Consider the following 22,985-nt stretch of genomic DNA (forward strand, 5'->3'; position numbering starts at 1 on the left):
ATACAAATCTATCATTATAATTGAAGAATTTAACAATCCCTCTCAATAATTAACAGAACAAATAAATAGAAAGTCAGTAAGAATATAGAAGACTCCAACAAAACTATCACATATATTTATAATATATAAATATATTGGGAATATGAGCTAATTACTATTTATAGAACATTCTCCCCAAACAACAACAAAATAGACGTTCTTTTGAAGTACATATGGAACACTTACCAAGTTAGATTATAATCTGAGCCATAAGGCAAATCTCAAAAAATTTTAAAGAATTCGAATCATACAAGTATATTCTCTGACCATAAGGAAATTAAATCAGAAATTAAAAGAATGAGGTGAGAAATAATTAAAGGAAGAGATGTGTGATTAAGAGCATTATTCACTGATTCTCAGATCGTATTTTAGGGCAACAGTCAGAACAAATATGAATTCAACAGCAATTTACTGTCTTTCCGCAACAAATCCTAAAGCTATGATTGAGTCACATGAATTCGTCACACACTGAAGGAGCATTGGCTGTCATTACTCTTGGGGGAAGCAGCTCTTATTATCTTCAGACAAAAACCAAAATCTTCCCACCCACTTAGGGGCATAATACATCACAAAACAGCATTCTTAACTGCTGGGTCAAAATATACAACTGGCTGGGACAGCTTAGGGGATCAATTTTTTTTTAATTCTTTAAACCTTTCACGAAGATTTTATTTCCTTAATTTTAAAAAAGATTCACAAGTGGCTAACTAGAAAGAGTGATTTAATATTTATTCAATAAACTAAATGTTCCTCCAGTTAGTACGTTTGAGGGGTTTAGTGCGGGAGGCTCCCCGGGTGACACCGTTCACCAGCTCCCCTCTGCTCTCCCGCTAGGGTTGGCCTGCACTTCTTGCTTAATGCTGAGTGAGTGTAGAAAGTAGAAGCCATGGATTTCAGGTTATGATCCATGCAAATGGATAGAGGAGCCAGAAAAGGAACACAAATACATTGAAAATATGGGAGGATGGGAGGCAGTAAGTTATATCTTCATATGATATGACAGGAAGTCAATTGATAATACCTATAACTAATAAATCACAAAGTAAGGACAGAGAATGTCATTTGATGGTATAGAAGAAACTACAAGAAGGGCCAGGCATGGTGACTCATGCCTCTAATCCCAGCACTTTGGGAGGCTGAGGTAGGTGGATCACCTGAGGTCAGGAGTTGGAGACCAGCCTGGCCAACATGGTGAAACCCCGTCTCTACTAAAAATACAAAAATTAGCCAGGCAAGGTGGTGCACGCCTGTAATCTCAGCTATTCGGGAGGCTGAGGCAGGAGAATCACTTGAACCCGAGAGGCAGAGATTGCAGTGAGCCGAGATCACTCCATTGTACTCCAGCCCAGGCGACAAGAGAGAAATTCTGTCTAAAAAACAAAACAAACAAACAAACAGAAAACATACTACAAGAAGAAACAAGGAGAAGTGGTGACTTTTGGGAACAATATAGAGTTGAATAGGGCTGGGTAGGGGACTCTGGTTTATAATTACATGTGTGTATTACTTTAATTTTTTTAAAAACATTTTTAAAGTATAATAAAAATCACTAAAATCAATGAGGTGAATAGTTCAAGATTTCAGGACACAAGTTATGACAATTTTGTAAGTGTGTTAACAGTAGGCTCTAACCACCAATGATTAACTGCAACATCCTTCCCTCCCATTTGGTTTCCTTGAACTTACACTCCTTTGCCAGAGCATATACATAAAATGCAAATTGACCTATATATCTTCTCTTTTTAGAGCATTTAGTAGACTCCTATGGCCCAAAGCAGCAAACCAAAGCTCTTAGACACAGGGTTTAAAAGTATCATACCTCTCCAGTGAAGTTTCTCACCACTCTCTGCATCACCACGGGCTTTGTGCTGCAGCAACACCAAAATGCTTTGTCCCCCACATACCCAGCCTGAGTGCCTCTTGCCAACCTCTACCCGCTGACCTGTAACCATTCTTCAAGACTAAACCAATGGGTGACTTCCACCACCAGGAAACCATCCCAGACTTTCCCCAAGGTAGGCAAGGTGCTTCTCCTGTCTTTCTTATATTTCCCTGTGAATATTTCCATCAAGGTCCCAACAATGTTATAGAGTGTTCTGTCTCTAGAACCCCTACTAAATGGTGAGTTTCTTGAAGTCAATCTTTGTATCCACAGTGCCTATCACGAGCACATATTACGTGCTCAACAAGAGCTTTTTTAGTTAGTTTTGAGGATGCTTTCAGGACTAAGAGGAGGTCGCATCTAATAAAAAATTAGATCTAATTTTCACTCTGAGTAAATTCATATCTACCACAGAATGATCTCTTTACACACACACACACACACACACACACACACACACACACACACACACACAAGAATATAAACAATCTATCCCAACTCATGGGCAGTTGCCTGAAGGGCATACCTTATTTATCCATCTAGCTGCTACACTGCTAGAAAAACTACCCTAAATTAACATCTAAAGAACTGCCTCTTTAAGCCTTTATTTTTTTAAATACAAGTAGCCCTGAGATTGGTTAAGTTGAATTATTGTCACTCTCCCTTTGGTGTGATTTTGCCAAGTCCATCATCCCCACACCTTCCTAATGCCCACAGAGCCAGCAGCCTCGAGGATGACAACCTCAGAGGTGCTGCAAGGAGCAGGAGAGCGCTGTTTTGGAATCTGGGGCACTGTCACATAGAAATGAAAGATGTGCCTGCTACATACACATGCTTTGGGATCCCACGATCTGGTTTCTGTTCAGCCACTGACTCATATCTCTGTGACACTGGGCAGGTTATTTTACCTCTCTAAGTCATGTTTTTAAGAGGCTACATTCTCCTGGTTTGTTGGAGGATTAAATGATGTCATCTCCATTGTGCTCTTCAACAGGGTATGGGGTAGTCTCCCAGGAAATATTAGTTATTGCCAACAGTACCCTAATGGGCAGACCAAAAGCAGGGGACCCCTGGGGGTAAAGAGAGAAAGCTAGAAGGCACCAAAGACAACCCTCAAATACTTGACAATTGTGCCTGGAGGCTGGAGTCTTGTACATTCAACTCAGCCTTTCCTTAGAGGGGAGTGGTCTCCCATATCATCCAGAGGTAGGACTAAGGCCATCCTCTACAAAGTGATCTACCTCCTCCTCAGGTTTTTATACATTTCCACTTGTTGCCCCTACTGACTGCAAAATCTGGAAGCAACAAGGAATCCTTCCACCACATAAGGTGTGAAAGAGGGAGATGGTTCTGAAACTTGTGTGATACTTACATACCCTCTTTGTCACATATGGCCATGTACTAGTACACTGAGTGACTTCTCCAAACATGTGGATAAGGAAGGCGCGTAAGAGAGAAAAACCCCTTCTATACCTCAACCTGGTTGCCAGTGGCTTCAGGTGAAAGTGGCTGGGGTAGGTGGACAAACTGACGTGCTTGTAAATCTTAAATCAATGGTTTTCAAACTCAGGCATGCATCAGAAGCACCTGGAGGACTTGTTAAAACATGGATTGCTGGCACCTCCCTGGAGTTTCTGATTCATGAGGTCATGGGGCCTGAGAATTTGCATTTCTAGCAAGTTCCCAGGTGATGCATCTACTGCCGCTCTGAGAACGCACGTTGAGAACCACTGCTCTAAAGAATACACTATGAAGTTCAAAACAACTAAATTTTACTTTTATTTCCAGGGAAAGAAAAGGACCACAAATATATTTTATAAATTATTTTAGTGTTTCTTTAAAATAATTTATTCTTTTTTAAAAATGAGGTATACACTACCAAAAAAGTATCTTTTTATCAAGTAAGTAGTTCCAATCAAGTTTTTCAAACTTAATTACACACTGCTATTTAATTGTTATTAACGTCATGGTCTTAAGATTTGCGAGTTAGAAGAAATTCCAGTTGGTATCAATGGACTTCCATATGCAATATATGCACAGAATATGAAAAACTATTTTCAAATATTATTGATATGGTGCACATCTCTATACAAGTTGTTTCTGTAGATCTAAGACAACTATTTTCTTTTTATGGTAATTTAATTTTTCTAGGTTACTGGTAATACTTGATATTATTCTACTTTGCTTCTTCAAACAGGATGAGGAAAGCATTTTATAAATCCCTTTAAAATTAAAGCCAGAGAGCCCATCATCTTTTGAAGCACTTCCACAGGTGCGAACTGGTTCAAACTTTTTGGAGAGAACTTTACCAATATGTATCACAACCCCTAAAAGCTTTCAGATGCTTTGACTCATTAATTCATCTTCCAGAAACCAGTCTGGAGGGAATAATCTGACAGAAGGTTTAAGCACAAAAACGTTCATCACTGCATTATCTATAATAACAAAACCTGTAGACTCAGTTATCACAATAGGGGATTCACTGAGTATCAAGCTATGATTTCAATATACGTTGGCATATTTAGCAGCTCTTAAAAATGAAGAATTATTAGCAGCACGAGAAAATACTTATAATATTAAGGGGAAAAAAGGAGACTTAAAAAATTTAGATATTGGCTGGGCGCGGTAGCTCACACCTGTAATCCCAGCACTTTGGGAGGCTGAGGTGGGTGGATCACCTGAGGTCAGGAGTTCAAGCCCAGCCTGGCCAACATGGCAAAACCCCGTTTCTACTAAAAAATAAAAAAATTAGCCAAGAATGGTGGTAAGCATCTGTAATCTCAGCTACTCGGGAGGCTCAGACAGGAGAATCACTTGAACTCCGGAGGAAGAGTTTGCAGTGAGCCGAGACGGAGCCACTGCACTCCAGCCTGAGTGACAGAGCAAGACTCCATCTCAAAAACGAAACAAAAACAAAAAAATTTAGATATTGTTTACCTTCAACTCTGTAGCCACAAAAAGTGTATACTGAAAAAAGACTGAAAGCAAAACAATATATTGACATGAGTCAACAGGTGAAAGGATTATAGGTGAGTTTTGTTTGCTTGTTTATGTTTTTCTACATTGAGCATGTATTACTTTTATAATAGAGAAACAATAAGCACTGTTTGAAAAACAAATAGATAAAGCTGGAGAAAGCCCTGAACTGTGTACATTTATGCCCGAACTAGAAATGCTCCCAGAAATATTAAATCGGTAGAAATAATAAGCTTCCCCTACACATAAAGTTACAAGGGAATATAACAAGCAAACTTTGTTTTCTGTTTTTTTTTTTAAAAAGAAAGTATTAGAAAATTGTGACTTTTTCAAATGGTCAATGAATTCTGCTTTTTAAAAGTTGTTGTAAAGGCATTTCTTTGAATCCAAACTGCTGATGTATATATTAACTTCCTAGCCAGCAGACAAAACACAGGGCCGCTCTCAGTCAGTTTGTTACTGAACTTGTTTTCAATGTGGTACTGTGCCTAGTTTTATTTTTTGTATGTGTTAAAAATAAAGACATTGTGCATTCTTAAACTGCCACATATCACTATTCCCTGTGGAGAGAAATTCAGGAAAAGGCAGGTTAGTGCTGAACATTTGCTCAAGTGGATTCATAAATAAAAGCCCTAAGCACCTATGCATGGGGCATGTTATTTATAAGGAGGTCTTAAGCATTAATCTCAATATGGCAAAGCTTCACTAAATCGTTTCTCACTATATAGTATTTGGAGCTTTGATGCACTCCTAAAAACGTGAAATGTTTAAATTCGATCATAAAATTATGTTAAGCAAAGAATTAAATTACGCTTATGATTTGTTAAATTTTTAAACACATAAGCAATAAAGAAATAGCATGATAACAGTAAATATTGTTAAACCTTTACTATGGGCCTAGTACTATGCAAACTACCATATGTGGACTATCTTCTAAATGCTCAAGACACTTTACAAAATGGTACTATCATCTCCAGATGACGAACCTGAGGTGCAAATATCCCAGTAAAATGGTCCTTGTGTCACTCAGTCCCCACACCAGGATCTGCTTAGTAGAGTAGATGTTATCATGGTTCCCTCTGCCTGTCCATTCATCTCAATGCAAATTAGCAGAGAACAGAGTTACAAGTGCACAGAGACTATGGGCCTCCTGCCCCATTGTAGACTCTGCACCCCTCCAGGAGACGGCAGCAAGCAGACATTGCTCCTCTGTGGCCCCGTTGTCTGTCACCAGGTCCTTTTTCTCTGGTCCTGCCCATCTCCCAGCCCCCTGAGATGTGAATGATAAGGGAGAGGGATGTGGCACTGCCACAACATCAGGAAAAGGGTCTTTTCCTCTTTGTTCCCCAAAACCTCACCAACCCCAACTACTGCAGAAAAAGTAAGTCCAATTAGTGAAAAGCTTAACTCCAGAACACTTCTCAAATACTGCAATTGTACTATGCATGAAGGAACTTGAAATACACTTTATAAGTACTAAGCAATACTTGATAGCAGGACTTACAGGATGTCTTATAATCATATTCTGCTGAGTCACTTGAACTAACATTAGTTCTTTGTAAGACTGCACACAAATAGCTTTATTTTAAGGCAATGGGTTCCCTGCTTCTGCTCTTGCCCCTCAACACGAGGACCAGAGTGATTTTTTTTAATTTTTAATTTTTTTTTTTTTTTTTTTTTGAGACAGAGTCTCGCTCTGTCTCCCAGGCTGGAGTACAGTGGTGCAATCTCGGCTCACTGCAACCTCCATCGCCTGGGTTCAAGCAATTCTCATGCCTCCACCTCCAGAATAGCTAGGATTACAGGTATACGCTACCATGCCCAGCTAATTTTTTGTATTTTTAGTAGAGATGGGGTTTTGCCATGTTGGAAAGACTGCTCTCAAACTCCTGGCCTCAAGTGATCCACCCGCCTCAGCCTCCCAAAGTCCTGAGATTACAGGTGTGAGCCACCATGCCAGGTCAACGTGATTCTTTTTAAAAGATAGATCATGTATCTGCTCAAAACCATCCAATGGCCTCCATCTAGCTCAAAATAAAAGGCAAAATCAGGCAGAGTGCAGTGGCTCATGCCTGTAATCCCAGCATTTTGGGAGGCAAGGGCAGGAGGATTGCTTGAGCCCAAGGGGAACAAGGTCATAGTGAGCTATGTTCATGCCACTGCACTCTAGCCTGAGTGACATAGCAAGACCCTGTCTCTAAAAAAAAAAAAGGCCAAAGTCCTTACCATGGCCTAAAGTCCCTCATAGATCACTGGGGAGACCTTTAAAGCCAGAGACTGTGAGTCAGGGCCTGGGCTAGAGGCCTCTAAAAGCTCAACAGGTGTTTCCCACATGCAGCCACGTGGAGAATCACAGTCCTGCCTGACCTGACCTCATTTTCCAACTCTCTCTTCACCCAGTCCACTCCAGCCACTGGGCCCCTTGCTGGGCCTATGCCCGGAAACTACACACCTCACTGCTGTTGATGAAAAAAGTCAAACTCTGTAAAATATTTGAAAAGATTTATTCTGAGCCAAATATGAGTAACCAATGGCCTGTGACACAACTCTCAGGAGGGCCTGAGAACATGCGCCTAAGTTGGTCGGGCTACAACTTGGTTTTATACATTTTAGGAAGACATAAGACATCAATCAATGCATGTAAGATGGACATTGGTTCTGTCCGGAAAGAAGGAACAACTGGAAACATGTGGGGTGTGGGCGTGGGGGGCACAGTGGCAGCAGGGAGTTCCAGGTCATAGGTGGTTGGCAGTTGGTTATTATCTAAAGACCTGGAATCAAGAGAAAGGAATGTCTGGTCATGATAAGGGGTTGTGGAGACCAAGATTTTATCATGGAGATGAAGCCTCCAGGTAGCAGGTTTCAGAGAGAAAAGATTGTACATGTTTCTTATTAGACTTAAAAAGAGCCTGTTCTGTCAGTCTTAAGTTCTCTGTGTTGATGTTAATGCTGGTCAGCTATGAGGCATGTCCAACTTCCACTTCCCACCATGGCCTGAACTAGTTTTTCAGGTTAACTTTGGAATTCCCTTGTCTGAGAGGAGAAGTCCATTCAGATGGTGGAGAGGCTTAACACTGCTTTTGCAGGAACCCATGGCTCATCCCTCGCTCTTGCAGGTCTTTGCTCAAATGTCATCTTTTCAGAGGATGCATACCTAACCACCCTCTGCACCCTTCACCCCGCACATTCTCTATTTTCCCTGTTTTTCTCAATAACAATTATCACCATCCTATAGATTTACTAATTTTTAATTATATTTCCTGCCCCACTCTACTTCACTAGAATGTAAACTCCACAAAGGCAGAAATCCTTGTCCCTTCTGCTTTCCTATATATCCCAACAGACTAGAAGAGTGTGTGGTATTTAGGCTGGGCATGGTGGCTCACGCCTGTAATACCAGCACTCTGGGAGGCCAAGGTGGGTGGATTGCTTGAGCTCAGGAATTTGAGACCAGCCTGGACAACATGGCAAGATCCCGTCTCTACTAAAAAGACAAAAAAATAGCCAGGTGGGGTAGGGCACACCTGTGGTCCTAGCTACTCAGGAGGCTCAGGTGGGAGGATGGCTTGAGCCTGGGAGGCAGAGGTTGCAGTGAGCTAAGATCGTGCCACTGCACTCCAGCCTGGGCAACAGGAGTGAAACCCTGTCTCAAAAACAAAAATAAAAAAGAAGAAGAAGAGTATATAGTATTTAGTAGAGGCTAAATAACTGGCTGTTGAACGAATGAATTATTTCAGTTTCTTCACCTTCTTTACATTAAAAATTTACAGGGTAAACCCTATTTTCATAGCTAAAACAAAGTTATACTTCAGCCTACTCCCTGTTTGACAGTTTATCACAAACTACAAAATAATGGGATGTAAATTGAAAAGTTTTTCTTCTATTTGGGGTTTTGTTCCAATTTGTTAAAATCAAACACAAGCCCTGAGTTCCTGCTTTAGGCAGAACACCACATAGTGAACTCTTGTTTATTTGGAATGATTGGGGAGAACATAATCTGGGATCTGAAAAAGAGGACATACATTTATAATCCAAGATTGCTGAATTTCAAAAAATTGGACTACAACATGAAAGAGTTCACATTTTCTTTGATTATTCAGAAAACACTTCAGAATTTTACTGTGACTGGATGTCATCAGTAGAAATATTATTTTAAGCCGGGCACAGTGGTGCCTGCCTGTAGTCCCAGCTACTCCAGAGGCTAAGGTGAGAGGATCGCTTGAGCACAAGAGATCTGGGCCATAGTGCTCTAAACCGATCAGGTGTCTGCACTAAGTTTGGCATCCATATGGTGACCTCCCTGGAGCAGAGAACCACCAGGTTGCCTAAGGAGGGGTGAACCTACCCAGGCTGGAAATGAAGCAGGTCAAAACTGTCACACCGGCCTGGGTGCAGTGGCTCACGCCTGTAATCCCAGCACTTTGGGAGGCTGAGGCGGGGAGATCACTTGAGGTCGGAAGTTCGAGATCAGCCTGGCCAACATGGCAAAACCCCGTCTCTACTAAAAATACAAAAATTAGCCAGGGGTGGTGGTGGGTGCCTGTAATCCCAGCTACTCAGGTGGCTGAGGCAGGAGAATCACTTGAACTGGGGAGGTGGAGGTTGTAGTGAGCCAAGATCATACCACTGCACTCCAGCCTGGGTGACAGAGTGTGACCCTGTCTCTAAAAAAACAAAAAACAAACAAAAGAAACTATATACATTATTTTAGATTTCTAGGAGAATGAGTACTAATCACAGTGATGTTGCTGGTCATATAAATAGTAGAAGACATGGTGCCAACCCTTGAAAGTTTATAGTCTAGCTATGAAGACAGATCATAAGAACTAAATAATTAGAAAAGTTATAAAGCAACATACCAATGAACATTCATTAAAATTTTTGCAAATTAAGACCTAAATGAGAAACTTCATAAAGGAGTAATCTTAGAAGCCTTCCAGAGATGTGATCAGGGACTGGGTTTTGCAGAATGTAAGTATAAGAATGTTAAGCAGATTGATTCACTAGACAGAGGCATAATGCCTCTGATTAGTACAATGCTCTGTAAAGAGTAAATGGTTTAGTACATATTTTACAACAAAAACTGACTCCCCTCATTTTCCAGTGACTTGGAGCATCAGAAAAAAACTCTTTCATAATCAGGAGTGCATGTGAACTAAACAAGTCAAGATAAAAAGCACAGCTTTAGAATGAGTGATTGATGCAATTAAAATTATTAGTAAGCAACAGATTGGCTGTAAAGTAACAAGTTTAAACAATGAGACTACACCAGCAAGCATTTCTAGAATTTCTCCTTACTTTGAAAAAGAGAATAAAATAAACTTTGAAAAAGGGAATGAAAGAAATTGTTTTAAATGGAAGAAGAACCAGTCGTTAAATTTTATTTTTGAAAAAACACTGAACTATGCTGTTGACAGGATTCAAATAGGTAAATTAAGGAGCATAAAAATGACATATAGAATGTCATAAAGATGACATATGTCAAAAAATGACATAAAGAAATCCAGCATATTTTTGATTTGGAACAAAAGCACCCCTGAAGTTTCTAAAATTAATATACTCTACCTTAGTTAAGCAACAATGAGCTTTCTCGGGAGTTTTTTCATAGCTAACCGTATGACCAATTTCTTTAATGTTCTTAATCTTAATTAAATTCCTTTGTTTTTCATTAATAAAAGTACCATATAACCTAATCTAATTATAAAATTTTTTCATTGTTACTCCATATATGAGGACTGAATTAAAATTCTTTGGCCAGATGAATAAATTAATTTTTCCAGGTACGTATCTTCACTAGTTTTCCTGATTGAAATGTTGGCAAGTTGGGAGTTTCCCGTTGAGCTTTGCTTCCCGTGAAAACAACCATGAGAGAACTCCAGAAATGGCCTTCTCAGGCCAGGCTTCGTGACTTTCAGGCCTTTGGTTAGAGGGGCCCAATAATGGCAATACATTAGAAAACTTCTGATTTCTTCCTCTTTTTAGAATTGTTGAGAGAGAAATGTGGGGGGAAGTGTAAATGGAATTATTTCATTTAGAAAAAAATCATTGAGTATAAAATGTTCTGAAATTTTTTATTCTCTGTAATATAGTATAAATTTGTTTTATATAAATCTACCATCTGATTCAGGATGATTAGTAATCTACCTCTTTTTATCCTTGAGAGAAGGCTGGAAAGTGCAATTGAAATTTTTCTCTTTTTGAGTCATCTCCAGTAAGCTGTCATTAATTCACTTCTTATGTGTGTTGCTATTGTTTATTTGCATGGGTTTTCTGGTTTCAAAATAGAACTGGTCTGAGATGCAGCTGTCCTGGCTTGTTGTTTGAATCTTTGCACATTCCAATAGCATTTTCCGCTGGAATGTTGAATTTAATGAATGAAAGACCAGGTGTTCCAGGTACATTCAGCCTGGGTAGAAAAGGGCATAAATGACAGGGTCCCAGTGCCTTTTCAGATAGTTAATAAATTAGCATTCATGTTAACTCTTCAAAAAATGTCCCCCTAAATGTAAGTTTAACATGTTCTGTTAAAGTGAAATTTATGATATCTTCCAAAATGTTGTTGGATCACTTCACAGATAATACAACCTCATTTACATCATCTGATAATATGAAAAGAACCATCATAGAAGCAGCTATTCTGCTATAACATAATAATTTAATTACTATGAAACCTCAATTGATCCAATATATAATGTTATAAAAAATTTGTTTCAATGGTGAAAAGGCAGATAGAGACTAGAGAGTATCAAACACTCAGTAGCAAAGTTATTTTCCCTGAAAAAAAATTAATAGAAGATTTTTAAAGTTATAAGTGAAGAGCTAAAAAAAACCCTAAGAATTGCTGTATAAATCCAGTATCTGATTATATCTGACTTTGCTAGAGAGTAATGGCCTTTATTTTGTTTTAGTCAGTAGCTATGTTAGTTTGCTAGGGATGCCATAACAGTACCACAGACTGGGGTCACTTAAACAACAGAAATGTATTTTCTCACAATCCTGGAGGCTGGAAGTCTGAGATCAAGGTCTTGGTAGGATTGGTTCCTACTGAAGGCTTTGAGGAAAGGATGTGTTCCAGACCTCCTTCCTTGGCTTGTAGATGGCGTCTTCTCCCCGTATCTTCACATGGTCTTCCCTCTGTGCCCATTTGTGTTCAAATTTTTTCTTCTCAGGACACCAATTATATTGGGTTAAGGTCTATTCTAATGGCCTCATTTTAACTTTACTTCTTTGAAAAGACCGTATCTTTAAATACAGTCACATTCTGAGATACTGAGGGTTAGGACTTCAACCTATGAATTTTGGAGGAACACAATTTAGCCTATAACACCAGTGCTATAAATGGCTTCTAATATGCTTTGAGCATCTGCTCTTTTCATAAGCAAAGTAAAACATCTGCTTTGGTTAAATTATAGCTTCTTCCTCCTATCTAATTCCACGGTCATGTATAGTTTTGTATCACTTTATAACCAATAGCACATCATATAATGTAAATTATGTTCCCAAACAAATGGATTACTTTATGAACAACTATCATTAAATTGAATGCCATAAAAAGATACCTACAAACTGGAAAGGCACAGTAGACCTGGGTTCTGGTGCAAATTCTCCCACTGGCCAGCTTTGTGACTCAACTTCTCTGAAGTTTAGTTTTCCTCACAGAATTGTGACAATCAAATAAGATCATTATTGTAAGAGTGCCTTGAAAAACCATAAAATGTTATGAAAATATAAGGCTGTTAAAACACTTTTAGTGTGAAATATAACACACAGGTAAAGAAAAAGACACAGTCATATCACGTAAATTACAGTTTTATTTCTTCTTTCCAGTCATTTTACTTTTATGTCTCCTTCTCACCTTACTGTACTGCCAAAACCTCCCATACGCAGTTGAATAGAGTTTTCATCTTGAGTGGAGGTTATGGTGGACACCTAAAACAGGGTCAAGATTCTCTGGAAGAATTTGTGAGAGACCTGATTTCTTTCATAAATGTTTAGTAGAGCTGCCGGTGAAGCTATCTAGGCCTTTACTTGGCCCCATTATCTCTCCTTTGAAGATAATCTGTCTTTTTTTCTGTACTAAGACTTCTTTTGTCATTGGTTTTCTACTGTTTCACTACAGTGGGTTCTAAGTAAGGATTTCTTTTTGGTTTTTCGTTTTGTTTTGTTTTGTTTAATTTACCCGGTTTGAGATTTACTGGTCATCTGTAATCTGTGAATTGTTATCTTTCATGGCTGGAAAATTCTCAGCCATTATCTCTTCAAATACTACCTTTTCCCATGTCTCTGTCCCCTCCTTCTGGAACTCCAGTTAAACCTATGTTAGATCTTCACACAGTATCCTTTATGTTTATAATCCTCTTTCATATTGTTTCTATATGTTGTTTTCAGGATAATTTCTTCTGATATACTTTATAGTTCACTGATTTCATCTTTAGTTGCCTCTAATGTTAAAACTATCTGCTAAGTTCAAAACTTTCAGTTATGCTTTTAATTTGCTTTTGGTAGTTACATTTGATTATTTGAAATGTGTCATATTTACTCTTCTCTGTTATACTTATCTTTGTGCCTGGTTATCTTTTTTTCTTCTTCTTTTTTGAGACAGAGTCTTGCTCTGTTGCTTAGGCTGGGGTGCAGTGGCATGATCTCGGCTCACTGCAACCTCTGCCTCCCGGTTCAACCAATTCTCCTGCTTCAGCCTCCCGAGCAGCTGGGACTACAGGCGCATACTACTACACCCGGCTAATTTTTGTACTTTTAGTAGAAATGGGGTTTCACCATGTTGACCAGGCTTGTCTTGAACTCCTGACCTCGTGATCTGCCCACCTCGGCCTCCCAAAGTGCTGGATTACAGGCATAAGCCATTGCACCAGGCCATGCCTGGTTATCTTTGATGCATTACACATGCATTTTTAAAAGGATTTATAGGAATAATTTGAGGCTTATAGTGAAGGAACTTTGCTCAAGAAAGGATCTGTGCTTGCTCCTGCCCGTGAGGGTCAGAGGCAGTTCAAACTGACTAGGGGATTTGAACGGAGCTGGTTGTCTTGCTTGTGGTTGACCCCCAGGTTGTAGCCCTTTGAAGTCTCAGCTTACTGTGAGAGGCATCACTGGTTCAAACCCCACTCTGAGCAAGCTCTGGACTTTGAATTTTGTCTTTCAGGTCCTCAAGCCTGTCAAATGAGGGTTCTAATATTAAAGAATTATAAAATGACGTCAATGCAAAAGTGACTTCTTTCTTGCTTTTCTCTGTGGGTTCTCATTTTCCTTCCATGTTTGGCCTAAAAATGTCTTACTGTCTTGTCATCTCTTCAATATTTCAAGAAATGTTTTAAAATGTTATATCCAGCCTTTTTAGTTGTCTTCAGCTGGGGGAAGGAGAGGGGAAATTGATTTGAATAATTTAGATTAACATTATTGTAAACAGAAAGTTCTCACATAAGTTATTATTAAAGAAAATGGGTGTTAGTTCAGAGGAAAGGAGAACCAATATGTATTGAGAATATTGTAGGTCAGGACTTCTTTCATTAAATTCTTAAAAAGAATGCTTCAAGGTAGATAGTACTTTTATTTTAAGGAGGTAAAGCTGAAATCTTCAGAGGTTAACTAGCTAGGCCAAGGTCACCTGACTATTAAGTAATTGGTAGCCTGGCATTGAACACAGATATTTCTAGCACCAAATAGCTATTTTCATTATAGCACATTGTTATAATATCTTCTATTTTTTCCCTCTTGTTCTTTTTATTTCGAAAAATTTTAGACCATCAGAGAAGCTTCAAGAATAACACAATAAAATCTAGATATTCTTTACTTAGATTCACTAATTGGTAAAATTTCCACAGTTACTTTTTCTCATTCATCCTCTCTATCTCTCTCTCTCTCTTTCTTCTCCTCCTCCCTCCTTCCTTCCCTCTCTTCTTCTTTTCCTTTTTCCATCCCTTCCTCCTCCATTTGATGGTTAGACACGGACACCTTGACAGTTCAACCCAATACTTTATCACATATCTTCTAAAAACAAGGCCGTTCTTCTACACCCACAATACAATTATCACTCTGAAGAAAGTAAATATTGATATAATGCCATTATCAATATAGAATCAATTTTAAATTCAGGATCCAATCAAGGATCACGCATTTCATTTCTTAGTCATATCCATGACTTCTCATTTTAAAAATGAATGATTAGACAGATTTGACAAGATACATACACACAAATAATGATTTGGGTAAGAAGAGGAACTCAAACTTTTTAGTTCATACCCTACTGCATTGTTTTAATTTTTTTCAATTAGCATATTCAATTCATGTAATTTTTAAATACATATATATGCACACTTTTCTTTCTCTTTTTGAGATTGGGTTTTGCTCTATTGACCAACCTAAGTGCAGTGGCATGATCATAGCTCACTGCATCCTTGAACTCCTAGCCTCAAATGATCCTCCCGGTTCAGTCTGCTGAGTAGCTAGGACTATAGGGGTATGCCACTACACTTGGATAATTTTTTTTGTTTTTATTTTTTTGTAGAGACAGGGTCTCACTATGTTGCCCAGGCTGATCTCGAACTCCTGGCCTCAAGTGGTCCTCCCACCTCAGCCTCCCAAAGCGCTGGGATTACAAGTGTGAGCTACTATGCCTGGCCTTAAACCAATATATGTTTTAATGAAGGATCACTTTTTAAAATAATTTATGATGTTCATGAAATATTGATATTTCTGCTTAGTATTTTTGCTGATTATACTGCAGGTTCCCTATTTGCTAAAAAATATTTGATTTTCTGGGACAATACATTGGATTATGAAAATTCTGAAAACAATTACTTTATATTTCACAATGTCATTATAAATTTAGTCTGTTTTGCCTAAAAAGTAGAGTCACCAACTTAAAATACTCAAAGAACCCATTAGTACTAAATCACAATTTAATTGAAAAAAAATTAAGCAGTCTTAAAGGATTTCAGGAGATTATATTCAAAGCTACAATAGCATTTTGTAGTAAAGTGGCACTAGTCTAGGTATATGAAAATATGCATGCTATTCCTCAGAATGGCATCTTTGGGAAAAGACATATAGTTTTTAAATCATTAGAAGAAAAAGAGAAAGAAAAAATAAAAATAAAATCAGAAAACATTATTTCAAATCAAGACTCCACTATTGGCCCAGCCCATGGCTCAGCCACGTGTAATTCCAGCACTTGGGGAAGCCAAGGTGGGCAATGGCTTGAGCCTGGAGTTTGAGACCAGCCTGGCCAATATAGGGAGACCCCATTTCTACAAAAAATACAAAAACTTAACCAGGCGTGGTAGTGCACACCTGCAGCCCTAGCTACCCCGGAGGCTGAGGTGGGAGACTTGCTTGATCCCGGGAGGTCAAGGCTGCGGTAATCACACCACAATGACAGAGAGAGACCCTGTCTCAACAACAACAAAAAAAGACTCCACTATTTACTACACCTGTAACCTAAAACAGTCATTTAACCTTTTGAGCTTCAGGTTTTTCTCATTTATAAATTGGAGATTATAGTATTTACTCTTTATTCTAACAAAGAATTAGAATGTGGAAGATATTTTACAAAATCTAAGACACACACACATGCACACGCACAAAGAAACGTTAATTTTTCTTATTTCAGACATTAATTCTATAAAATGATATTATATTCTCCCACTTGACAGAACCTGTTTGAAAATTTTGAAGATAATCTCAGCTAGAGGGATTAATTCCATAACTGGCAAAGTACATTCCTTCTGCTTATGTTAATTTTGAATTAAAAACATGCTTATCTCTATTATTACTATCAATCCTAACTTCTGACTGGGGATTTGCTTAAAGAAACTTTTCATGCTAAATGAATATGGGAGTTATTTTTCTTCCTTGACTGCACAACTATTAACCGTTTTATATATTTCATATATAGCAGAAAATGAAAGTATTAGAGTGGAAGAGAAAAACTGTGTTAAGAATCTGCCTGATTTTAGTAGAAAATTTTCATGGTATAGCATTGGCTTGAAATGTTTAATTCTGGTCATGAGACTATAGTAATTACATTAGTGTCTATTGGCCACTGGTCTTATCAGCAGCCGTTATAATTCACATCAGAGGCCGGGTGCAATGGCTCACGCCCGTAATCCCAGCACTTTGGGAGGCTGAGGCAGGCAGATCACTTGAGGCTGGGAGATCAAAACCAGCCTGGCCAACATGGTGAAACTCAGTCTCTACTAAAAACACAAAAATTAGCCAGGCGTGGTGGTGCAGGCCTGTAGTCCCAGCTACTCAGGACGCTGAGGCAAGAGAATCACTTGAACCCAGGAGGGGGAGGCTGCAGTGAGCTGAGATCGCTCTACTGCACTCCAGCCTGAGTGACAGAGAAAGACTCTGTGTCAAAAAATAATAACAATAATAATTCACATCAGAAAGAAAGTGAATACACCTGATAATGTGGTATAAATTAGGGCAAACCTATTCTATCCTGTACTCAAGTATTTATTAGATTAAAATGAAGCTAAATAAAGCTAGATAAACTAGATAAAGTTTTTACTACACCAGGGGCAGGGCTCACACCTGTAATCCCAACACTGGGAGGCGGGGGCAGGAGAATCACTTGAGACTAGGAGTTCGAGACTGGCCTGGGCAACATAGCACAGTTCTACAATTTTTTTTTTTTTTTAACTTAGCCGGCATGGCGGTTCGTACCTGTAGCCCCAGCTACTCTGGAGGTTGAAGCAGGAGGATCACTTGAGCCCAGGAATTTGAGGTTACAACGAGCTATGATTGTGCCACTGCACTCTGGGCAACAGAACTAGAACCTGTCTCTAAAAAAGAAATTTTTTTTTAAATGTTGCTAGATAAAAGCTTCTGGCTAAAGGTAGAAATATACCTTTTTTCTTCCTATTTTTGAAGAATTTTTGTCTCTATGTATTAACGATATAGGAACAGTATCTTGTATAGGACTAGGAAGATGGAAAACTAAAAATAGACCCCTGTAATCCTGGTGAATCCAGGTAAGGGATCCATCCTAAAATATCTATACATTGTTAACAGTTATTCTGATTTTAAAAAATTTTAAAGCTCTTGTTTGTATGTTTGATTCTAATAAAAGTAAGAATACAACAGAGTGGTTTTGATCAATAAGATGTGTTTGCTGAATTGTGGGTGCGAGGTTGACAGGGTCAGATAATTTTGGTTATAGAGCTGGTTCTGTCAATAACTCTGACCTTGAGCAAGTCACATCAGTTTCTGCACAGATAAAATAAGGGAGTTGGATGAAAAAGTCTTTAAAATCCCTTCCAGTTGTAAAATTACACGATTCTGTGAGGTATTTTAAAATTCAATATTGGACTGAAAATTACTCTTCTGGATCATTCTCTTTCCTTCAGCCTTTTCCTGATTCAGTGTTAATCCTTGAGCATAGCTTAGTGTTATGCAGCATAAACTTTTGTCAGTCATTGGTTAGGAACCATCTTTTACCCCACCTTCACCCTCTTCCCCAACACACACCTTCCACTGTGGTTAAAAGAAAGACCCAATGTCAGACTGAGGAAATTCATCCTAAGGAGGCAATGGCAGGGAAGAGTTGGCAGAAGGCCAGGAGAGCACTGGGGGGGTGAAAGGAGTCCATACCATTAGTTCTTAGCTTCAAGACCTAAATCATGGAATTAAAGTATCCTAGTCTCTGCATCCTGCTTCCTGGAAAGAGAGAATCCTGACTCAGCTACTCAAGCGTATTGGATTCAACTTGGCAAAAATGAACCTATATGCAAATTGAAATTGCTATATCAGGTGCTATGCCATTCAGAGCTTGGGGAGTCTTGCTGTGGGAGAAACCTGGTAGAATTTGGATGATGACAAGAGGCCATCTTCCTTCTCACACTTGGAATTATCATGAACTAGGCTAACAGGCAGAGGTCCACATTGGGATGGCTGGAGCCACATCTCTGTAAGAGAGTAGAAGCTCTTGGCAGGGTGGTCAGCAACCACTGAACATTACCAGGGACAAATCCCTTGCACTTAGGACAACCAAAACCAGAAGGCACAATGAGAAGCCAGCAGTTACCAAATTTAGCCTCAAGGGACATTTGAATTCTCTGTCCACCAGCAGACAGTAACAGGGGAACTACAACAATGCTAGAAGAAAGTTGGAAAGCCTGCCAGTTAAGCAGTGGGTGCTTGGGGCCATTATAAACTGGAGTATTAAGGGAATTATCATCTTACCTATGTATTGAGGTTGTTGAAGCCTTCATATATAGATTACATTTTCAACTATAAAAATTTCTTAAAGTGAAGGCCAGCAGGAAGTTAATAAGAGAATGAAATGGTCATTTCTGTACATTACACATATACATTCATCAAGAAAGCATAGTGGGGAGAAATATGAACCCATCCTTGTAGGTGCTAACTCAATGAATACCAGTTCACATTTTCAAATCTTTTTGTTTGTTTCATTTATGTAAAAGTTGTTTCATACTACAAGAACTGTATCTTCATTTGAATGTTTCCACATAACATTTCTTCTTTAGTCGTGTGCATTGTGACTAAGAGCTCCATGTATTTAACCACTACTTTTCAACAAACACTATTTACTGAACATGTTACAACCTTTAAAATCTTATTTTTATAATTTCAAAATAAATCACTTTTATAAAGCTCTTGAGTTAGTCACTAAGCTACTACTTTGGAAAATAGAAGTAAACTTTGAAAGATTATGGCACGTTTGCTCATTAAATTCTTATATCATTTAATACAAAACTATATATACAATTTGTAAAATAACTTCGGTGAAGAGTTATTATAAAATTAAGCCTATCTCCAAAAATCCAAGCAGAAAATCACTTCGGCAGATACAATGTCTTATCATTGTATATGTTAAAAATCTCTCAATCAGCTTCTACAAACTTACAGCCTGTTCTGTTTCATATAGGTATTCAAAAATATGTCCAAGATAGACTAAAGAGCAGACACTGTCATTTTCCCAAATGCTAGAAAATTATGAACATATATATGTATTTATATTTTGTATTTATACAAATATATAAGCATATAACATTACATATATGCACTTTAACCTGAAAAGGCATATATCGAAATGTTAACAGTGGGTAATTCTAGACTTAGACTTACTTATAAATTTTATCTTCTTTCAGTTCATTTTCCAGGTTTTCTAAAATATCTATGTATATTTTTGAAGCATAAATATTTATTGAAACCCTATATATGAATATTTTATGGCTTGGAAAGATGGCCCTAATAAAAGGTAGTTAATTGGTAGTGCACTTCCAACTACAGGGAGTATAATTGCCCAAAGGCCTCTGCTGCTGTTCTCCGAAAATCTGTCTCTGCATTCATGCCAAGGCCACAGTGATTGAACCTGATAGAGTTACTATTGCAGTCTCCTTCATGGGAATTGTAGACTCTTCTGATGATGGAGGAGTCCACGTCTCCCAGCTCTTCTACTAAAGTACTCCTCAAGGTCTTGCTGAACTTTCTCTGCACTACATGGCAGTCTAGGATATTACCACTCACCTTCCCATCTTTCTTTGCTTCACTTGGGGTCATATCTATCTATCTATCTCCCAGCCTCTCCCCACTTTCTTTCACAGATTCATATCTTATCAGCAGGGTCCCCAACTCCCAGGCCACGGGCCAGTACTGGTCTGGAGGCTGTTAGGAACTGGGCCACACAGCAGGAAGTGAGCAGCAGGTGAGCCAGTGAAGCTTCATCTGTATTTACAGCCATTCTCCATTGCTCCTATTACCTCCTGAGCTCTGCCTCCTGTCAGGTCAGTGGTAGCATTAAATTCTTATAGGAGCACGAACCCTATTGTGAACTGCGCATGCAGGGGATCTAGGTTGTGTGCTCCTTATGAGAATCTAATGCCTTATGATCTGTCACTATCTCCCATCAACCCCAGACAGGATTATCTAGGGTTGATGAGAGACTGTCTACTTACAGAAAAACAAGCTAAGGGCTCCCATTGATTCTACATTATGGTGAGATGTATAATTATTTCATTATATATTACAATGCAATAATAATAGAAATAAATGTAATGCTCTTGTGGCCTTGGCACAATAAATGCAATGCTTTTGAATCATCCCAAAACCATCCTTTCCACTGTCCCATAGTCTGTGGAAAAACTGTCTTCCACAAAACCGGTCCCTAGTGCTAAAAATGTTGAGGACCGTTGCATCTAATCATGTCTTGATGTCTGCTAGTCAGAGAAGCTGAAATAACACAGGCTGCAAAGCAGGATACCCCATTATTATATTTTGGTTGGAAAAATGTATGTGTGTGTGTTCACATTATGTATTTATATATATAAATATAAACATACATAAATCTATGTATGTTTACAAATAGAAGAAAATACAGAAGAGTGGCTTTCTCTTGATAGAATAATTATAGGTAATTTTTTACTTGCCTGTATTTTCTTAAAGTTCTACAATAAATATGTACTATTGTGCAATAAAAAAGTAAACTTTTACATGTATTGATTTTGTTCAATCCACAACAGATTTATTTGTACCTAACTTTGCATTTTACTGGACTGTTTAAAGAATCAATATATTCATTTACTTCTTCACTGAAATATTTGCTATGCCTACTATGGACGAGGTCCTGTGCAAGGAGCAATGGCAGATGGAAAGGTAAAGGTGAATCAGTGAAGTCAGGAAAGTGGGGATCTAAATGGCAATGAGTGGTGAGTGCCTTGAGGGAGGCGCAAAGCCAGTGCTGAAGGTTCAAAAGATGAAAAGAGAGCATGTGTCTGGAGGACTGAGAAGAGGGAGTGCAGAGGTGGCATTTCAGCTAGACAATGAAGGAACTGGAAACTTTCTTTCTAATTTCAAATTTTGTTTAAACAACCTCTGCAGTTTGGATCACAGCTTAGGAGTCCTTAGGAGTTTGAGACTGAATTTGTTCATTCTCTCCCCTATATCTGAGCACAGGTAATATTGCTCACGGCACTTTCCACCCCCATCTTCTCACCCACCAACTTTCTCCCAATGAGGTCTCCTTGTGATCCCAGTCCTGAACCTGAATCAGGGAGTCATTATCTAAGGTTATGGTACTCTTGATTTTATGGCCACCTGGTGTGGTTTCCTCACACTTTTCTAGGTTTAAAAGCAATCTCATTATTTTTAAAGATGCTTTTCATTTTTATAGTGATCACATCTCCATTTCTACTGATGGTCACCATGGGTTTTGCCAGGCAGCCAGTTTCCTGCTGGCTCTCCCTATTCCTTCAGTAACAAAAGTCTGTGAACTCCATCTGAAAGTGCCTGCTTTAATTGGATCAGCTCTGTTTCTGGAGTTTCAGAAGTGGGACATGTCCGGGCTCACCAGACGAAGACATGTTATGGAGCAGGTCCTATACTGATGGGTAAAAACAGAAGAAATGGCAGACACAACAGCAAAAGCCTAGGTCCCGACACTCTGCCTTCACTTCACAAAGCAGTTGGCTTTACAAATACGCAACACACATCTGATTTCTCTATGGAAAACAGCATAGGTACACCATTATCAGGATTGCCTCTCATTTTATCTAAAGGACTAGAATCACTTGTTTAAAAGTGGCTTAGTACAGTCCTCCCACAGTATCCTGGGAGGATTGGTTCCAAGAATACCTCCACCTCCAGTCCCCATGCATACCAAAATCCTCAAATGCTCAAGTCCCTTATATAAAATGACATAGTATCTTCATATCACACACATCTTCTCATATACTTTAATCATCTCTAGATTATTTATACTTCTCATATACTTTAATCATCTCTAGATTATTTATAATCTATGATTTATGATACCAAATACAACGTAAATGCTACCTACTGTATTTTTACTTGTATTAGTTTTTATTATTATATTGTTACTTTTTATTGTTTTGTTATTGTTATTGTTATTATATATTTTCCATCTACAATTGGTTGGATCTGTGGATGTGGAACCCACAGATACAGAGAGCCGACTGTACTGCGGTCTTTCCAAGTTTGGAAACATCACTCAGAAAATGTTTTAAATTGTTTTGTCATGGATAGAATGTCTTTCTTCCTGTTCGTATGCCTGCCTGATATATTGATTATTAGTATAAATGGGATA

General features: G+C 38.5%; 1 protein-coding gene and 2 pseudogenes across 1 annotated transcript in view; 2 read left to right on the forward strand and 1 right to left on the reverse strand.

Moving 5' to 3' along the window:
- Positions 1 to 22,985, forward strand: part of TAB2 (TGF-beta activated kinase 1 (MAP3K7) binding protein 2) — a 193,682-nt gene that overhangs the window by 64,373 nt on the left and 106,324 nt on the right. The gene's annotated exons all lie outside the window — the stretch shown is intronic.
- On the forward strand, positions 9,054 to 9,397 carry RN7SL234P (RNA, 7SL, cytoplasmic 234, pseudogene; annotated as a pseudogene).
- Positions 21,809 to 22,130, reverse strand: FABP12P1 (fatty acid binding protein 12 pseudogene 1; annotated as a pseudogene).

This window comes from Homo sapiens, chromosome 6 (genome assembly GCF_000001405.40).
Source record: "Homo sapiens chromosome 6, GRCh38.p14 Primary Assembly".
Classification (NCBI taxonomy): Eukaryota; Metazoa; Chordata; class Mammalia; order Primates; family Hominidae; genus Homo; species Homo sapiens.